We start from the raw sequence: 17437 nt of genomic DNA, 5'->3' as shown, positions 1-17437 counted from the left end.
CTCATTTTCATTAGGTATTTCTCCTAATGCTATCCCTCCCTTCTCTAGTTCTTTTAATTGTGAGGTTAGGATGTCAATTTTAGATCTTTCTTGCATTCTCCTGTGGGCATTTAGTACTATAAATTTCCCTCTAAACACTGCTTTAGCTGTGTCCCAGAGATTCTGGTACATTGTGTCTTTGTTCTCATTGGTTTCAAAGAACTCATTTATTTCTGCCTTAATTTTGTTATGTACCTAGTAGTCATTCGGGAGCAGGGTGTTCAGTTTCCATGTAGTTGTGCGGGTTTGAGTGGGTTTCTTAATCCTGAGTTCTAATTTGATTGCACTCTGGTCTGAGAGACTGTTATGATTTCCATTCTTTTGCATTTGCTGAGGAGTGTTTCACTTCCAATTATGTAGTCAATTGTAGAATAAGTGCAATGTGGTGCTGAGAAGAATGTATATTCTGTTGATTTGGGATGGAGAGTTCTGCAGATGTCTATTAGGTCCACTTGGTCCAGAGCTGAGTTCAAGTCCTGAATATCCTTGTTAATTTTCTGTCTCACTGATCTGTCTAATATTGGCAGTGGGGTGTTAAAGTCTACCACTATTATTGTGTGGGAGTCTAAGTCTCTCTGTAGGTCTCTAAGAACTTGCTTTATGAATCTGGGTGCTCCTGTATTGGATGCACATATATTTAGGATAGTTAGCCCTTCTTGTTGCCTTGATCCCTTTACCATCATGTAACGCCCTTCTTTGATTCTTTGTCTTTTTTGATCTTTGTTGGTTTAAAGTCTGTTTTATCAGACTAGGATTGCAACCTCTGCTTTTTTTTTTTTTTTTTTTTTTTTTTTTTTTTGCTTTCCATTTGCTTGGTAAATATTCCTCCATCCCTTTATTTTGAGCCTATGTGTGTCTTTGCACATGAGATGAGTCTTGACTCTTTATCCAATTTGCCAGTCTGTGTCTTTTAATTGGGGCATTTAGCCCATTTACATTTAAGGTTAATATCGTTATGTGTAAATTTGATCCTGTCATTATGATGCTAGCTGGTTATTTTGCCCATTAGTTGATGCAGTTTCTTCATACTGTCGATGGTCTTTACAATTTGGTATGTTTTTGCAGTGGCTGGTACTGGTTTTTTCATGTCCATATTTAGTGCTTCCTACAGGAGCGCTTGTCAGGCAGGCCTGGTGGTGACAAAATCTCTCAGCATTTGCCTGTCTGTAAAGGTTTTTATTTCTCCTTCGCTTGTGAAGTTTAGTTTGGCTGGATATGGAATTTCTGAGTTGAAAATTCTTTTAAGAATATTGAATATTGGCCCCCACTCTCTTCTGGCCTGTAGGGTTTCTGCAGAGAGATCTGCTGTTAGTCTGATGGGCTTCCCTTTGTGGGTAACCGGACCTTTCTCTCTGGCTGCGTTTAACATTTTTCCTTCATTTCAACCTTGGTGAATCTGACGATTAGTCTTGGGGTCGCTCTTCTTGAGGAGTATCTTTGTGTTGTTCTCTATATTTCCTGAATTTGAATGTTGGCCTGTCTTGCTAGGTTGGGGAAGTTCTCCTGGATAATATCCTGAAGAGTGTTTTCCAACTTGGTTCCATTCTCCCCATAACTTTCAGGTACACCAATCAAACATAGGTTTGGTCTCTTCACATAGTCACATATTTCTTGGATGTTTTGTTTGTTCCTTTTCATTCTTTTTTCTCTAATCTTGTCTTCATGTTTTATTTCAGTAAGTTGATCTTCAATCTCTGATATCCTTTCTTCCACTTGATCAATTCAGCTGTTGATACTTGTGTATGCTTCACGAAGTTCTCATGCTGAGTTTTTCAGCTCCATCAGGTCATTTATGTTCTTCTCTAAACTGGTTATTCTAGTTAGCAATTCCTCTAATTGTTTTCAAGGTTCTTAGCTTCCTTATGTTGGGTTAGAACATGCTCCTTTAGCTCGGAGGAGTTTGTTATTACCCACGACCTGAAGCCTACTTCTGTGAATTCGTCAAACTCATTCTCCGTCCAGTTTTGTTACCTTGCTGGCAAGGAGTTCTGATCCTTTGGAGGAGAAGAGGCATTCTGGTTTTGGGAATTTTCTGTCTTTTTGCGCTGGTTTTTCCTCATCTTCATGGATTTATCTACCTTTGGTCTTTGATGTTGGTGACCTTCACATGGGGTCTCTGAGTGGACGTCCTTTTTGTTGATGTTGATGCTATTCCTTTCTGTTTATCAGTTTTCCTTCTAACAGGCCTCTCTGCTGCACGTCTGCTGGAGTTTGCTGAAGGTCCACTCCAGACCCTTTTTGCCTGGGTATCACCAGCAGAGGCTGCATAACAGCAAAGATTGCTGTCTGTTCCTTCCTCTGGAAGCTTCATCCCAGAAGGGCACCCACCAGATGCCAGCTGGAGCTCTCCTGTATGAGGTATCTGTCGACCCCTGCTGGGAGGTGTCTCCCAGTCAGGTGGCACGGGGGTCAGGGACCCACTTGAGGAGGCAGTCTGTCCCTTAGGAGAACTCGAGCACTGTGCTGGGAGATCCGCTGCTCTCTGCAGAGCCAGCAGGCAGAAAGTTTAAGTCTGCTGAAGCTGCGCCCACAGCCACTCCTTCCCCCAGGTGCTCTGTCCCAGGGAGATGGGAGTTTGATCTATAAGCCCCTAACTGGGGCTGCTGCCTTTTTTTCAGAGATGCCCTGCCTGGAGAGGAAGAATCTAGAGACGCAGTCTGGCTACAGTGGCTTTGCCAAGCTGTGGTGGGCTCCATGCAGTTCGAACTTCCCTGAGGCTTTGTTTACACTGTGAGGGGAAAACCGCCTACTCAAGCCTCAGTAATGGCGGACGCCCCTCCCCCACCAAGCTTGAGTGTCCCAGGTGGACTTCAGACTGCTGTGCTGGCAGTGAGAATTTTAAGCCAGTGGATCTTAGCTCACTGGGCTCCGTGGGGGATCTGCTAAGCTAGACCACTTGGCTCCCTGGCTTCAGTCTCCCTTCCAGGGGAGTAAATGGTTCTGTCTCACTGGCATTCCAGGCACCACTGGGGTATGAAAAAAAAAAAACAAAAAACTCCTGCAGCTAACTTGGTATCTGCCCAATTGGCCACCCAGTTTTGTGCTTGAAACCCAGGGCCCTGGTGGCATAGGCACCCTAGGGAATCTCCTGGTCTGTAGGTTGTGAAGACCATGGAAAAAACCATGGGTTGGAATGCACCATTCCTCATGGCACTGTCCCTCATGGATTCCCTTAGCTAAGGGAGGGAGTTCCTTGACCCCTTGCACTTCCCAGGTGAGGCGACACCCCACCCTGCTTCAGCTGGCCCTTTGTGGGCTGCACCCACTTTCTAACCAGTCCCAGTGAGATGAGCTGGGTACCTCAGTTGGAAATGCAGAAATCACCCACCTTTTGCGTTGATCTCACTGGGAGATGCAGACCGGAGCTGTTTCTATTCAGCCATCTTGCCAGCCACCAGGTATTTAATTTTACATGTGGCTATTGTAAATGGGGTTAATTTTTTTATTTTTTTCTTTTTTAACTTTTATTTTAAGTTCAGGGGTATATGTGCAGGTTTGTTATATAGGTAAACCCATGTCATGGGGGGTTGCTGTATAGATTATTAATAAAGTATAATATTAAGTCTAGTACCCATTAGTTATTTTTCCTGATCCTCTCCCTCCTCCCACTCTCCACTCTCCAGTAGTCCAGTGTCTGTTGTTCCCCTCTATGTGTCCATGTGTTCTCAACTTTAAGTTCCCACTTATAAGTGAGCAGCATGCAGTATTTGGTTTTCTGTTCCTGCATTCATTTGCTAAGGATAATGGCCTCCAGCTCCATCATGTTTCTGCAAAAGACATGATCTCGTTTTTTATGGCTGCATAGTATCCCATGGTGTATATGTACCACATTTTCTTTATCCAGTCTACCACTGATAGGCATTTAGGTTGATTCCATCTCCTTGCTATTATGAATAGTACTGCAATGAACATATGCATGCATGTGCCTTTATGATAGAACAATTTCTATTCCTTTGGGTATATACTCTGAAAATGTCTTTATTTTACCTTCATTTTGAAGAATATTGTCACTGGATGTAGAATTCTAGTTTGACTTTTTTTTTCTTTCAGCTCCTTAAAGTTATTATCCCATTGTCTTTTGGTCAATGATAAATCAATGATCATTCTTATCTTTATTCCCTTGTATATATGTCTTCTTTTCTGTCTCCTTTTAATGTCTTATCTTTATCATTTGTCTTTTGGTACATTGATTACAATGTACCTTGGTATGGTTTTCTGTGTGTATATCCTGTTTAGGATTTGTTGAGCTTCTTGAGACAACTGTTTTTGATCTTCAAGTTTGGAAACTTTGGACTATTATTTCTTTAAATATTTTTCTGCCCTTAACCTTTCTGAGTTTTCTATTGCTATGTCTTCGAGTTCATTGATCTTTTCTTCTTTAGTATATAACTGCTATATATACACCATATGCTATATATACTATATAATCTGCTGTTGAACTATATGGTGCATTTTTAGTTCAGATATTATACTTTTAAATCTAAAAGTTCCATTTGATAACTTCCACTTCTTTCCTCATTAAGTTTATGTTTTCATTTAAATCTTTTAATGTATATTTAGAACAGTTGCTTCAAAATCTGTGTCTGCTAATTCCATCATTCCTGTCATTTCTGAGTCTATTTCTATAGAGTGATTTTTCTCCTGGTTATAGGTCATATTTTCCTGCTTTTTTACGTATCTAATTTTATTGGATGTTGGACATTGTGAATATTCTGTTGTTGAGGGTCTGAATTTTTGTTTCCTTCCTTTCAATAATGTTGAATTTTGTTTTGTTTTGGTAGGAGTTAACTTACTTGATCATCAGCTTGTTCCTTGTAAGGCTTGTGTTTAAGACTTATTAGGATGGTGCTAAAGTAGACTTTAGGGCTAGTTTAGCCCTACTACCAAGACCCTTTTGAGGCCTCTACTGAATGTTGTGGGTGTCCGATAAGTTCTCTTCACTCTCCAACTGTAACATGAATGTCTCTCAGCCCTGTCTGAACTCTGAAAATTGTTCAGCTTATAGCTCCCCAGTAGTTTTCATTTGCCCACACTTATGGAGTTTTATTATATGCATGCACAACTCATGCATATAAATACTCATGAGTATTTAGACAAGGACTCAAGGGAGACCTCTATACAGATTTCTGAAGCTCTTTTTCTGAGTAGCTTCTTCCTCTCTGGTACTCTTCCCTGGAAATTATAGTGCCACAGACCCTCCTAATGTCAAGATCTCTAACTTCAACACAAAAAGACCCCTGTGATCTACTTGGATTTCCCCTCCCTGCTCTGCCCAAAAGTGCCTTCAAACAGAAAGCTAGGGTTGTCTTCAGGCTCACTTTGCTTGTTTTCCTTCTCTCAGGGATCATAGTTCCATGCTAACTATTGTCCGTTGTCTAAATAGTTGTTTCATACACTTATCCAGTTGTCTAGTTATTTATGCAGGCCAGAAAGTCCAATGCCAGTTACTCAGTCACGTTCAGAAGATAAAGTTCCTCTCCTTTGGGTCTTTACTCAAATGTTACACAAGAGTTGGCAATCATCCCAACAATTCTCCCTGTCCTCCATTCCTGCTTCATTTTTCTCCATAGTACTCATCAACCAACACTATCAATTTACCTATCTGTCTTACTTACGAATTGTTTCTTTTCATTAGAAGGTAAGGTCCATGCAGGCAGGAATTTTGTGTATTTTGTTCCATGTTATAGCTCCAGCACAAAGGTTAGGTCTTGGAATACAATACATATTTGACAGATGAATGAATGAATGAATGAATAAAGGATCATTACCTTTTGAAAACTTTCCTTCACGCTATTCCTATCTTTTCTGCATCTTGTATCATATTGTTGATCACACTTTGTTCCTCTCTCTCTCACACACACACACACACACACGCACACGCACACACACACAGCAGAAATGGACCTCATCTGTGTGTCCCCACCATCCAACACAGGGATTAACGAAGGTGAGTTGGGTGCATGGAAATTGTCCCCATCTAAGAAGCACAGTGTCCAAGAAACCAGCAGAGGGCAGCACAAAGCTGTGCCTCTCTTTTCACCTCCGTAGTGCCAGTCTTAAGTAGAGAGGGGCTGGTAGCAGATGGAACTGGAGCTGCAGCTAGACTTAGAAACACAGAGCCAGTGTTATTCCCTCAGAAGAGAACTCAGGAGGGCCCAGGCAGCCTTCTCTAGGGGGTCTCTCACACGGCCTTGCTGACTCAGCATGTCCTACTGTGTATTCCATCCACAAACACCCAGCCTTGATAGTAGGAGCACAGGTCCACGTGCACACACACACACATGCACACAGACCCCTCCTCAGTCAGAAGAGCCCTGCCTTCATGATGCAATCACCTTCTCTCCCAGCCTGTGCTGTTTAGGCTTTCTAGGTCAAATGGATTCCTCAGAGGTTCCATTCCCAGCCTCCCTGTCCACTCAGTGCACTTAGCAATTCCCCTGAAGGCTTTTAACGTTCACCATTTAAATTTCATTCTTACCACAGGAACTGCCAGGAGGTCAGCACTGTTAGGTCCAATTTGCAGGTGAGGAACAGACTCAGAGAGGAAAAGGAACTGGTCTAAGGTCACACAGCTAGTGAGTGGAGAGGCTCAGATTCAAACCCAGGGGTGCTGGCCTTGGGCTCCCTCCATAGCCAGCTGCAGCCTCCACTCCAGCTCAAGCCCCAGGGAAAGGGACAGGAGTGGAGGCATGGGCAGGAGGGTGGGAGGTCACAGTACAGATTCTTTACTCCCAGGATTTTTATTATCACCCTAAAATAAAGCTAGTTACTCCAGGCTTGCTTCTCCTCCCCCCACCCCACCCCCACTATAAACCTTTCTATGACATTTACAGGGTGGGGGGCATGGGGCATAGGGGGAGACAGCATCGCCTGCTTCCTGGGAACTCTTGTAGGGCAGAACCTGACTATTACTGATGTTCTCCAGGACCTCACACACAGTAGGGGCTCACCCAGGGTGGGTTTGATGGATGGATGGATGGATAAATAGGATCATCAAGATGAAGGGCAATGCCTGGGAACTCTTTAGAGTCTTTAGCGTCTCATCTTTTAATTCAGCAAACGGGCCCAGAAGATTCCCATCCCTTCCCGAGCACTAGGCCCTGTTTTGGATGCTAAAGACACATAAATGGGGAAACTGAGACCACTACTTGGCAGAGACACAAAAGTTTGCAGCAATTCAGAAGAGGATGTGCCTGGAATAGAAGGAGAATCTCAGGAGGGGCAGTCCTCACCCCTGCCCACAATAATGCTGTGAACCAGTTGCTGCTTCCGGCTGTTTGGGCCCCACCGGCAGAGAAGCCATTGTTTAGCTTGGTGCTTGGCGCCTTTCCTACCACCCAATCCTTCCCCTTCCCATTGTCCTCAGGCCCCTCATCAGGGTACAGGATGCAGCTGCCGGCACAGCAGCAAAAAGAATGGGAAGGGGCTGGGAGAAGTAGATCCCAGGAAAGTTGAGAGGCTTCAGCTGGTGGTCCCTTTCAGAAGAGCTGCTGACAAAGACCCCAGGCAGCAGGCTCTGCCAGCATGGCACTGGGCACTGGGTGCAGAACTCAGGCTTCAGAGGCAGAGAGATCCAGATTCAAGCCCCAGTATCTGCCGCTGACATACTGTGTGTCCCTGGGCAAGTCTCTTTTGATCTCTGAGCAACAATTTCCTTCTTGGTTAGAGGAAGAATAAGATGCTTGCTTAGTGAAGAATGACTTATTGCATTGAGGAGTAACACAAAAATGCATGATACCTAAATATTTTTAAATGTTCATTTCTGTTCCTTCCCCCCACCTCAGCCATAGCAAAGTATCAAAAAAGATTATGTCAAAGAGGACTCTTGTGACAAGTGGAAGCAGTGCTTTCTCTTCAGTAAATGAAGATGTTTTCCCACAACTGGGTTATCTGAAAAATCACATTGAACAAATCTATAATAAATCCCATTTAGTAATTTATAATCACATTAATGGAACAGCTGACATTTATTGAGTACTTACTATGTGTCAGACACATCACTTCTGCACAGATACTCTGTGAGTTAAGTACTCCAGGGTTAATTTCATGGGTGTATGACCAGAGTAGCTGCACAGGGCCCCCCACTCAGAAGGGTGCCATGCACTTGGGGTTTAATTTCCTGTGGTCACCACCTTGAAATTCTTAATCATTCTATCTTTTAATTTGTGTCTTATAAGAAAAGTTGGGTGGAGCAGTGGAGCACACACTGGTTATTTGGAGCCTTGGTTCATACACGGTCCTGCCTCCTGTCACCTCCCCACCTCCTCCTCCCTGAGATGGGTTCTCAGCTGTCTGTTCCCCTAAACACCCCACATCCCTATTGCCACCACAACTCCATCCCAGGCAGGGGCCTGGGTGTCGGCACAGGGAGAGGAAGAGAGAGTTTGCATGCCAAGTCATGAAACAGGCCTCTTGCCTGTCTCATGTGAGGGTCTACACTCACCTTGTATCACCAGGCCTAAGGGAATACAACATTAAATAGTGAATAATAAACAGGAAGACAGGTTGAGAGAGACAGCAGAGAGAGAAAAGGAACCCTGCATTTGCATTTGCACTGGTCCTCATAAATTATGTAGCCAGTCCTGGGTACTATGATTGCCTCTATTTCACTGAGGTGGCAATCATAGTGGACACTGAGGCTCAGAGAGGCTCAGTACTTTGTCCAGGATCACACAGCTGCCAAGTGGCAATGTTCAGACACAGACTTAGATCCCAGGTAAGAGAGGACTCCAAGATCTTAAAGAGCTTTCAGCCCAGGAATTAGGAGAGCTGGATCCAATTTTTGACTATGACCTTGGCAAGTTTGCCCCTACTCTGTGCCTCAGCTTGCCCAAGTGAAAGCACTCTATGGAGTCTTCCAAAGTAGCACAGGGTCTCAAGATTTGGCTTTGCCAGTTATATGGGCTGTGATTTTGAGCACAGGGAAATCATCTTTGCCTACCTTCCCCATAGAGTTGCCAGAAGCATTCAGCAGACATGTACCCACTCTGCATGACACTTCACAGCATGTAAAGCACGCCCATGCTACTCCCTGCCCCAAACAACATGAAGCAGAAGACTGGGCTAGGAATATTATCATCCCCATATCACAGACAGAAACTTTGAAGCGCCAGAACTCTAAAGTGACTTCCCCAAACTCACTGCATTTCAGGCAAGTTTTGAGTAGGTTAACAGACTCCCCAGGATCATAATATGAACAACCCCAAAGGAGAAGATGGATCACAACCTTGGGAGTCCTGGTGTGGGAGGGCAGCAGGAGGCCCCACTCTGAGTGGGGTGGCTTAATCCCTGGCCTTGAGGGTCCCGGGTCTGAGGAAGGAGGCCAGAGAGGTATCCAAGAGCTCCTGAAGGAAAAGAAACAGCTGGCCAGTAACTTTCAAAGGGTGACAGCATCCTGTGTGATGTCTACCCAACAAGGAGGGGTGTTATCTACAGATCATAAGCAAACAGGCAGACAGAAGGACTGAGAGGCAGATCCAGCAGAAGCATTCCCCTGTTTGTCAATTCTACTCCTGCAGCCTCCCCACCCATGACCAGCCCACTGGCCAGTCATGGGAGAGATCTCCACCCACAGAGAGCACAGGCTCTGGCTGACCAGAAGTCCCTGCAGCGGGGGTGGTATGTCCTCAGCCCTGCCCCACTCCCCTGGGTTCCTCAGTCCCTGGTTCCCTGGGAACCTGTATCATCTACAACAAAGGAGGGCCACCCCACCCTCGGGCCAGCCACCTCTCCTGCCTGGGGCTTCTGGTGACCACAGGATGTGTTTCAGAAATGGTTCTTGAAGTCAGGAGCCTCACCTGTCTATCCCCAGTCCTTCAGGGAAGCATTAGTGAAGAACTCTCCAGTAAAACTTTCTGTGGTGGTGGAATTGTACTATTACTTGCTGCCTGGTAGCCACTTGCCACATATGGCTACTGGACACTGTGGCCAATGATACTGAAGAACCAATTTAAAATTTGTATTTTGTTTTAATTATGTTAAATGTAGATTTAAATTGTTATATGTGGCCAGTTTGGCTACTGTATTGGGCAATGAAGCTCTAGAAACAAAAGGGGACAATACACCATGACTTGGGGCTTCAAAAACACTTTCACATTCATCTCATTGTCCTGTGAAATAGGTGTTTATCCCCATTTTACAGAGGAGAAAACTGAAGCTCAGAGAAACTAAACGGCTTCCATGCTGATGGAGCCAGGAAGAAGTAGAGACATGATTGAGTCCCAGGTTTCTTGATTTTGATTCCAAAAGTCCACTCATACCTCTTTGCAACACTGCCCACTTATGTAGTCATCACATATTTATTGGGTCATCGTTATTTAGGAGTACACTTCTGGGCTAGACACTTAAAAACAAATCAGATACAGGCCCAGGCTTTGCGAGAATCCTTGGACAAAAGCAGCGTAATTGCCACAGTAAGAATATGGGCATAAAAATTACTTTAAGTGACTTTCTTCCAAGTAGCTCAAAGCACTTTGCTTTAAATTCCATTTATATCTGATGACTTCCCAATTGATATTTCAGGCCCCAACCTGTGCCCAGAGAACTCTCAATGGGTATACCAAACAGCCTCCATTTGAATATTGAATTGGCTTGTCAAACTTGTCCCAAACTTGCTCTACCCCATCTCAATAAATAACAATTCCTTGCTTCCAGTGTTTCCACCGCCAAACCCTCTCTTCTCTTCACACCTTTCATCTAATCTATCAGCAAAAATTGTCAGCTCTGTCTTCAAGAAACATCCAGAATGCTCTCCATCTCTGCTACTGCCTCTCTAATCTATCAGCATCATCTCTAGCTGGACTGTAACAAACTGCTCTCCTGTGTTCCTCACTCTCCCCCCACTTTTTTCTACAAAGTAGCCAGAGTAATTTTTTCCTTTATTTTATTTTATTTTATTTATTTATTTATTTATTTATTTATTTATTTATTTATTTATTTATTTATTTTTGAGACGGAGTCTCGCTCTGTTGCCAGACTGAAGTGCAGTGGTGCAATCTCGGCTTGTTGCAACCTCCGCCTCCCGGTTTCAAGCCATTCTCTTGCCTCAGCCTCCCAAGTAGCTGGGATTACAAGCGCGCACCACCACGCCCAGGTAATTTTTGTATTTTTAATAGAGACAAGGTTTCACCATATTGGCCAGGATGGTCTCCATCTCCTGACCTTGTGATCCGCCCACCTCAGCCTCCCAAAATGCTGGGATTACAGGCGTGAGCCATCGCGCTGGCCCAGAGTGAATTTTTTTTTTTTTTTTTTTTTTTACGGAAAAGCCAGAGTATGCTACCTCTCAGCTTAAAGCCCCCAGTGCTTTCCCAAAGTCCTTTCAGTGATCCATAAGGCCCTAAAGCCCTGGCCTCTGATGCTTCTCTGACCTCATTTCCTATCACTCTGCTCCTTGCTCTTCTGGTCCAGCCACAACAGGTCTTCCTGGTCACTCCTTCCTGCAGCCACTGCACAGCTCATTCCCTCACCTCTCCTCCGATAAGCTGACTAAATGTTCCCTTTTCACAGAGGCACTCCCCATCACCTGACCGTGTTTCAATTTTCATCATAACACTTATCACCTCCTGACATTTAATATGTTTGCCTATTGTTGCTCTCCTCCCTCTAGAGTATAAATAAACTGCAGGAATAGATTGGCAGATAAGATACACGATGCTCAGTTAAACTTGCATTTCACATACACAATGAATAATTTTTTAGTGTGAGGATGTCCCAGATGTTGCATGGGATGTCTTAATGCTAAAAAATTGTTTGCTGTTTCTCTGAAATTCAAACTTTACTGGGTGTCCTACATTTTTATTTGCTAAATCTGGCAACACTATACAGGAAGACAAGGACCCTGGTTATTTTGTTCATGGCTGTATCCCCAGCGCTAGAACAGCTCCTGACACGTAGTAAGTAAGCTCTCAATAAATATTTATTGACTGAATGAATGTGTTAATTAATCTGAAACGCGCCTAAACTTTTAACAGCCTGTGTGAGAGTCAGAGAGGCGGAGCCTTCAGACTTGGTTAGTCCAGGGGGCGTGGGCGGCTGATGAACTTTCGAAGTAGGTCGAGCAGCCGGGCGCTTTGCCTGCCCCGCCCGCGCTCCGCAGGATGCAGGACTCCACCCGGCTCAGGTTCGCAGCAGGTCCCGGAAGCCCTCCTGGGGGCGGGGCCACCCTAATCGGCAGGTGGGACCCAGCCCCAGCCGGGGCAGGGCCCCTTTAACGCCCCACCTCTCCGCCACGACTTTCGCCCCGGCGTGACGTCACCCCAGCGGGCGACCAATGGGAGTGCGGCTTACTGGCAGGCGGCGCAGGCGGCCGCTGCCAAAGGGGAAGTGATCTGGGGCTGGAGCGATGGCCCGGGGCTGGAGCTCGCGGCCGCCGCCGCCGCAGCCGCCGCCACCAACGCCAACAACAACGTGTCGGGAGCAGCCGCGGCCGAAGCCGGAGCAGGGGCCGGAGTCGCGGCTGGAGTGGGGCCTGCGCGTGTGAGTGGCCGAGAGTTGCCCGTGCCGGAGACCTCAAACTCCGGGCGGGAGCGCTTTCGGTCGGCCGAGCCGCCGTCGCCCGCGGCACCGTGTCCCCAAGGCCCAGACAGCGGGGCGGGGGTCTATCAGGCGCGGGACTGGCTTCTCTCAGGCCGACCCTTCTAGCCGGGCTCCGGATCTTCCTCGGCCTCGGGCCCCCTTCACGTTCAGGACGGAGGCCGGAGAACGGTGATCATCACACACCCCAGCCGGCTTCCTGGCCAGGGCATTTTCTCTGCGGCCAAGCAGTGTTGGGATTGTAGCTGCTGGGAGCCCCCTCCTGCCGCCACCTCTCCTGCAAGGAAGGGACTGACGCGTTCCCACTTTCTTACTCTGCACCTCCCCACTCTCTTCCCATTCAAGAACGAGTTTCTCTTCCCTCTCCATTGGAAATCTTGCTCCGGAGGTCCGAAACACGTATTTTAAGCGTGCCCTTCCTCACCTCCTGGAGCACCCTTAGAAGTATTGCCTACTTATCCGGGCTGAGAATCCTTCATTTTTGACCTGGCTTTTTTTTCGCCCTTTGGGAGATAAAGGTCCCTCTCCACCCTCTACTAACACTCTGCACCCAAGGCCTTATCCTTTGGGGTCACCAGCTCCTTGGCCATTTCTATGTGATTTCCCCCACCCATCTGAGTTCCAGTTTCCTCTGGGCTCCAATCTCCAGTCCCTGGCGGATCTGGTCAGTCCCACCCCTAGGTGGGAGTGACCAGGGGGCTCTGGCCCAGGATTCCCAACCCTGGAAGGCAGCTCCAAGGCAGGAAGAGAATTGGGCATCGGGTACGAACCTGGCAGCTCAGGAGTCGGGGCTCCACTCACCCCACACAAAAAGATGAAAAAGCGCAAAGAGCTCAATGCATTGATTGGTTTGGCTGGGGACAGCCGGAGAAAGAAGCCCAAGAAAGGCCCAAGCAGTCACCGCCTGCTTCGCACTGAGCCTCCCGACTCAGACTCTGAGTCCAGCTCCGAAGAGGAAGAGGAATTCGGTGTGGTTGGAAATCGCTCTCGCTTTGCCAAGTGAGTAGTGGTGAAAGGTGGAATGGGAAGAAGGCATCTCCTTGCACTACCAAGGGGCCACATTGACAGGAAGGAGAAAGGAAGTCCTTAGGAAGAAAAAAGGGTGTAGGCCTTGGAAGTCAAAGAGGGAAAAACGGTTTTAGGGAGAAGGTAAGTTCAGATCCTGAATGAAGAATAAGTTAGAGATCTGTCTTTAGGTGTAGAAAGAAAAGCTCCAAATCTGAGGTGGAAATGTGGACTTGGAGAATGTGCCAAGAGCCCAGGGAGTCCTAAAGAAGCAAAGAATGGAGACAGAGGAGCAGAGAAGCTTTGGGGACTAGACTTTTTAAAACAGTGTAGAACAAAGGAGAAGCAGAGACTTTAAGACTGCAGATTATTTCGTTTTTGCACTCTTGATGAGTCTGAATATTGGTGGTGGGGAAATATGGTGAGAGATATACTGTAGGAAGTATGAGCCTTGAGAGTAGGTGGGGTCGGGGGGCAAAAGAAGAGGCATCATTTTCCCTAGCCATTCATAGGTGGAGAGACCACTAGGCAAATCAAGTAGTAAGATTTGAGGACATTGGGATTGGGGCTCAGGATGGGAAAGGACTAAAGGGAACTTCAAAAACGTCCTTTGACTCTCTCAGAGCACACTAAAAGAAAAGAGGATTCTGCTGAGGATGTAGAAACAATGGCTAGGCAGAAGGTCGGGGTGCTGACATTGAGTGGTTGGTTGGTTTAAAATGTCTTGTTTTGTTAAAGGAAGAGTTTGATTTCTAATGAGCTTTGTCAGCTAAGGCTGTTAAGGGCAATCCTGGGTTTGGGTTATGAAGATCAGTTGAAGTGTTACCTTCATCAGAAGGTACCTGGAGTAGTAACCCTACTAAGTTAGTTTAGACCTTGAAGGTTGGTTGATGTTTTGTGTGAAATCCAGCCCCTTCTATGTTTCCTTACTTCTGAGCCAATAAGCTAGAATACACCAGGTGTCCACTTAAAACTACAGATCCTGTTTCTTTCATTTCTTTTGCAGTAAAACTTGCTCAAAAGTTTATAAAGTTTCAGTAAACTGGAGCAAGGTTCCCCGGAGTGAGTATGTATTTCAGAGAGAAATCAATAGGCAAATTCCAGTGCAGAGATGGAATTGCAGAGAAACATTGGTCTTTACACTTTTGTGACCTGAGCTTGTATTCAAAGACCTCCCTCCTGATAATGACAGCTGCAGTGCCTTTAGGTTCTTCCTTTTACCTGCAGGAACTCCTTCTGTTTTATGTGACATTTGAAACCTTTGTATCCAGTAGATGAACCCTTAATAGGTCATATTATTTATTCATTTAAGTGCTTTACCCTGCCTCCCCTGGTTAATTCACTGGTTATTCATTTAAAGGAGATAATTGCATGGCAAAACGTGTACTATTGCTAATAAAGCTATACCCATAATCACTTTTGTACTCATGGTTGAATTTGTCCTCTTGAGCAGGGGAGACTATTTACGATGCTGCAAGATCTGTTATCCGCTCTGTGGTTTTGTCATCCTTGCTGCCTGTGTTGTGGCCTGTGTTGGCTTGGTGTGGATGCAGGTTGCTCTCAAGGAGGATCTGGATGCCCTCAAGGAAAAATTTCGAACAAGTAAGTAAGTGGTTACTCTCTTTTTTTTTTTTTTTTTTTTTTTTTTGAGACAGGGTCTTGCTCTGTCGCCTAGGCTGGAGTACAGTGGCGCAATCTCGGCTCACTGCAACATCCGCCACCCAGGTTCAAGTGATTCTCATGGTCAGCCTTCTGAGTAACTGGGATTACAGGTGTGTGCCACCACACCCAGCTAATTTTTTTGTCTTTTTAGTAGAGACGGGGTTTCACCATGTTGGCCAGGCTGGTCTCAAACTACTGACCTCAGGTGGTCCACCTACCTCGGCCTCCCAAAGTGCCAGGATTACAGGCGTGAGCCACCACACCCAGCAGTGGTCACTCTTTTCAGGGTGTAATCCTGGACTCCTTTCCAGGTTCTGGGACAAAGTCAACCCTGCTGAACGAAGATTTTTGCCCATTCTAGTGAAGCAATTATACGTTCCTCTCAGTATTTTTATACTCTTTTTGAGCTCTCTGCTTGAATGTTGTAACACTTATTTGTTTTTAAACTCACAAATAAAAGGCAGTGCTTATGCACCAGCAGGACAAGTAGCATCTGAAATAATGGCATTGCAGTCAATGCTTAGCGTGCAAAAGGCAAGAGACTCCTACCCTAGGGGTAGGAGTCTAGAACTTGGTGTAACCTCTACTTATGGCTTGCATCTCCCCAAGCATAAAGTGGCAATGACAACACTGGGCTATTCCTTCCACCTCACAGGGCCATTTGAGAAAGAATGTGGGAGCATCTGTCAAACGATTGCCTCTTTAGAAGGACTGAATAGGAGCATAGGAATGGGCAATAATAAGAGTAGCTAACATTTGTGGAAGGCCTACTCTGTGCCAAGTCTCAAATCATTTTCTTTACAAAATAATCCGGTGAGATGGGTATTATTTTTATTATTTTGTGCTCTTAGAAGGATTAAGTAATTTGTTCAGTGATTAAGTATGACAGAGCTGAGCGTCCTCTTGCCCCTTGCTGCCCAAATTCACATTTATAACACTACTGTCTGCACCACTGTTCCTGGTGGCCTTGTAAGCCTATGCACATTTCTTCAAGTGCCTACAGATCTCTTTGATATCAACTTGGTCAGTAATCTAAAAGAAGTTTAGTAGAAGAAACAGGAAGAACTGGTTTTCTGCATACTTATCAGTTTTCAAGCTTAGAGCAAGGACTGATAGATTTCTCTCCTTAGCTGTGCTTATACTAGTAACACGATCTCTTTCAAGAAAAAAACATTTAAATACCATTAATGAGTGTTATCATTTTAAAGTTTTAGGAAACTTGAACTAAGTTACATACTCGTGAAGGGCTTACAACAACCATACCTACTTTGAACACTGTGCAACTGTCAGAAATGTTTATCTCATGAGTGAGTTTTAAAGTTTAAGGAGGTTTTGAAGTCACAGAGTTTTGTATATTCTAAATTGTAAAGTTATATTTTACACATCCAAATTACTTTTTCATTTCTTTTTCTTTCTTGTTTTTTTTTTTTTTTGAGATAAGGTCTTGCTTGCTCTGTCACCCAAGCTGGAGTGCAGTGGCATCTGGCTCGTTGCAGCCTTGACTTCATGGGCTCAAGCAGTCTTCCCGTGTCAGCACCCCACACCCCCAATCCCAATAGCTGAAACTACAGGCACGCGCCACCCTCTGCTAATTTTTGTATGTTTGTAAAAGACAGGGTTTTGCTATGTTGCCCAGACTGGTCTCGAACTCCTGGGCTCAAGTGATCTGCCTGCCTCAGCCTCCCGAAGTGCTGGAATTACAACTTTGAGCCATTGTGCTCGGCCCAAATTACTTTTTCCAAAAGGTATGTTTGCATAATAGCTTTGACCGAATTTAACATAGAATTTTTTTTTTTTTTTTTTTTAGCAACACTGAAACTTTTGGCTCTAGGTTTAAGGGTTAATCTTCTAAGCAAAGGAACCAGTTTCAACTTAATCACAAATACCCTAACCTTAATAGCATGAGCACACCAGGAAACTGACCACAAGGCTTTCTCAAGGTCATAAAGAAATCTGGCTCCAGAACTGGAATTAAAGTTCTTACTTTCGATCTTAAGCCTAGATTACAGTATCCTCACTTTCCCATCTGAAGCCTAGAAGATTGCAATATCCCAACTTCTCTTGGCTGCCTACAGTTACTCAAGTTTTGAACCCAGCCTAAGAACAGCTAATTTTTAGTGTGTTAATGATGTTTCTAGTGATGTTGCTTAAAAAAAAAATACTGACTTTGGTTTTCTTCTGAGTTTCTGATTCTGGG

At 45.1% G+C, this 17437-nt stretch overlaps 1 protein-coding gene across 1 annotated transcript in view, besides 4 other annotated features; it reads left to right on the top strand.

Moving 5' to 3' along the window:
• Positions 2051-2892: an enhancer, noted in NCBI's record as "H3K27ac-H3K4me1 hESC enhancer chr1:47194255-47195096 (GRCh37/hg19 assembly coordinates)". NCBI's record gives its function as "activates a minimal SCP1, AML or CMV promoter by ChIP-STARR-seq in naive H9 embryonic stem cells {active_cell/tissue: H9 hESC(naive)}" and the evidence as "EXISTENCE:reporter gene assay evidence [ECO:0000049][PMID:30033119]".
• Positions 2893-3734: an enhancer, noted in NCBI's record as "H3K27ac-H3K4me1 hESC enhancer chr1:47193413-47194254 (GRCh37/hg19 assembly coordinates)". NCBI's record gives its function as "activates a minimal SCP1, AML or CMV promoter by ChIP-STARR-seq in naive H9 embryonic stem cells {active_cell/tissue: H9 hESC(naive)}" and the evidence as "EXISTENCE:reporter gene assay evidence [ECO:0000049][PMID:30033119]".
• Positions 12137-12186: a silencer, noted in NCBI's record as "silent region_852". NCBI's record gives its function as "represses an Ori minimal core promoter by ATAC-STARR-seq in GM12878 lymphoblastoid cells {active_cell/tissue: GM12878}" and the evidence as "EXISTENCE:reporter gene assay evidence [ECO:0000049][PMID:35858748]".
• Positions 12361-17437, top strand: part of EFCAB14 (EF-hand calcium binding domain 14) — a 43956-nt gene continuing 38879 nt past the window's right edge. The window contains exons 1-2 of the mRNA NM_014774.3: positions 12361-13572; positions 15032-15180. Coding sequence (NP_055589.1) covers positions 13388-13572; positions 15032-15180 — 334 coding nt within the window. The 5' untranslated portion in view covers positions 12361-13387. The remainder of the gene's footprint in view (positions 13573-15031; positions 15181-17437) is intronic.
• Positions 12507-12556: a silencer, noted in NCBI's record as "silent region_851". NCBI's record gives its function as "represses an Ori minimal core promoter by ATAC-STARR-seq in GM12878 lymphoblastoid cells {active_cell/tissue: GM12878}" and the evidence as "EXISTENCE:reporter gene assay evidence [ECO:0000049][PMID:35858748]".

The sequence above is a fragment of the Homo sapiens genome, chromosome 1 (assembly GCF_000001405.40).
Source record: "Homo sapiens chromosome 1, GRCh38.p14 Primary Assembly".
Classification (NCBI taxonomy): Eukaryota; Metazoa; Chordata; class Mammalia; order Primates; family Hominidae; genus Homo; species Homo sapiens.
This window is presented reverse-complemented; position numbering and strand designations above follow the sequence as displayed.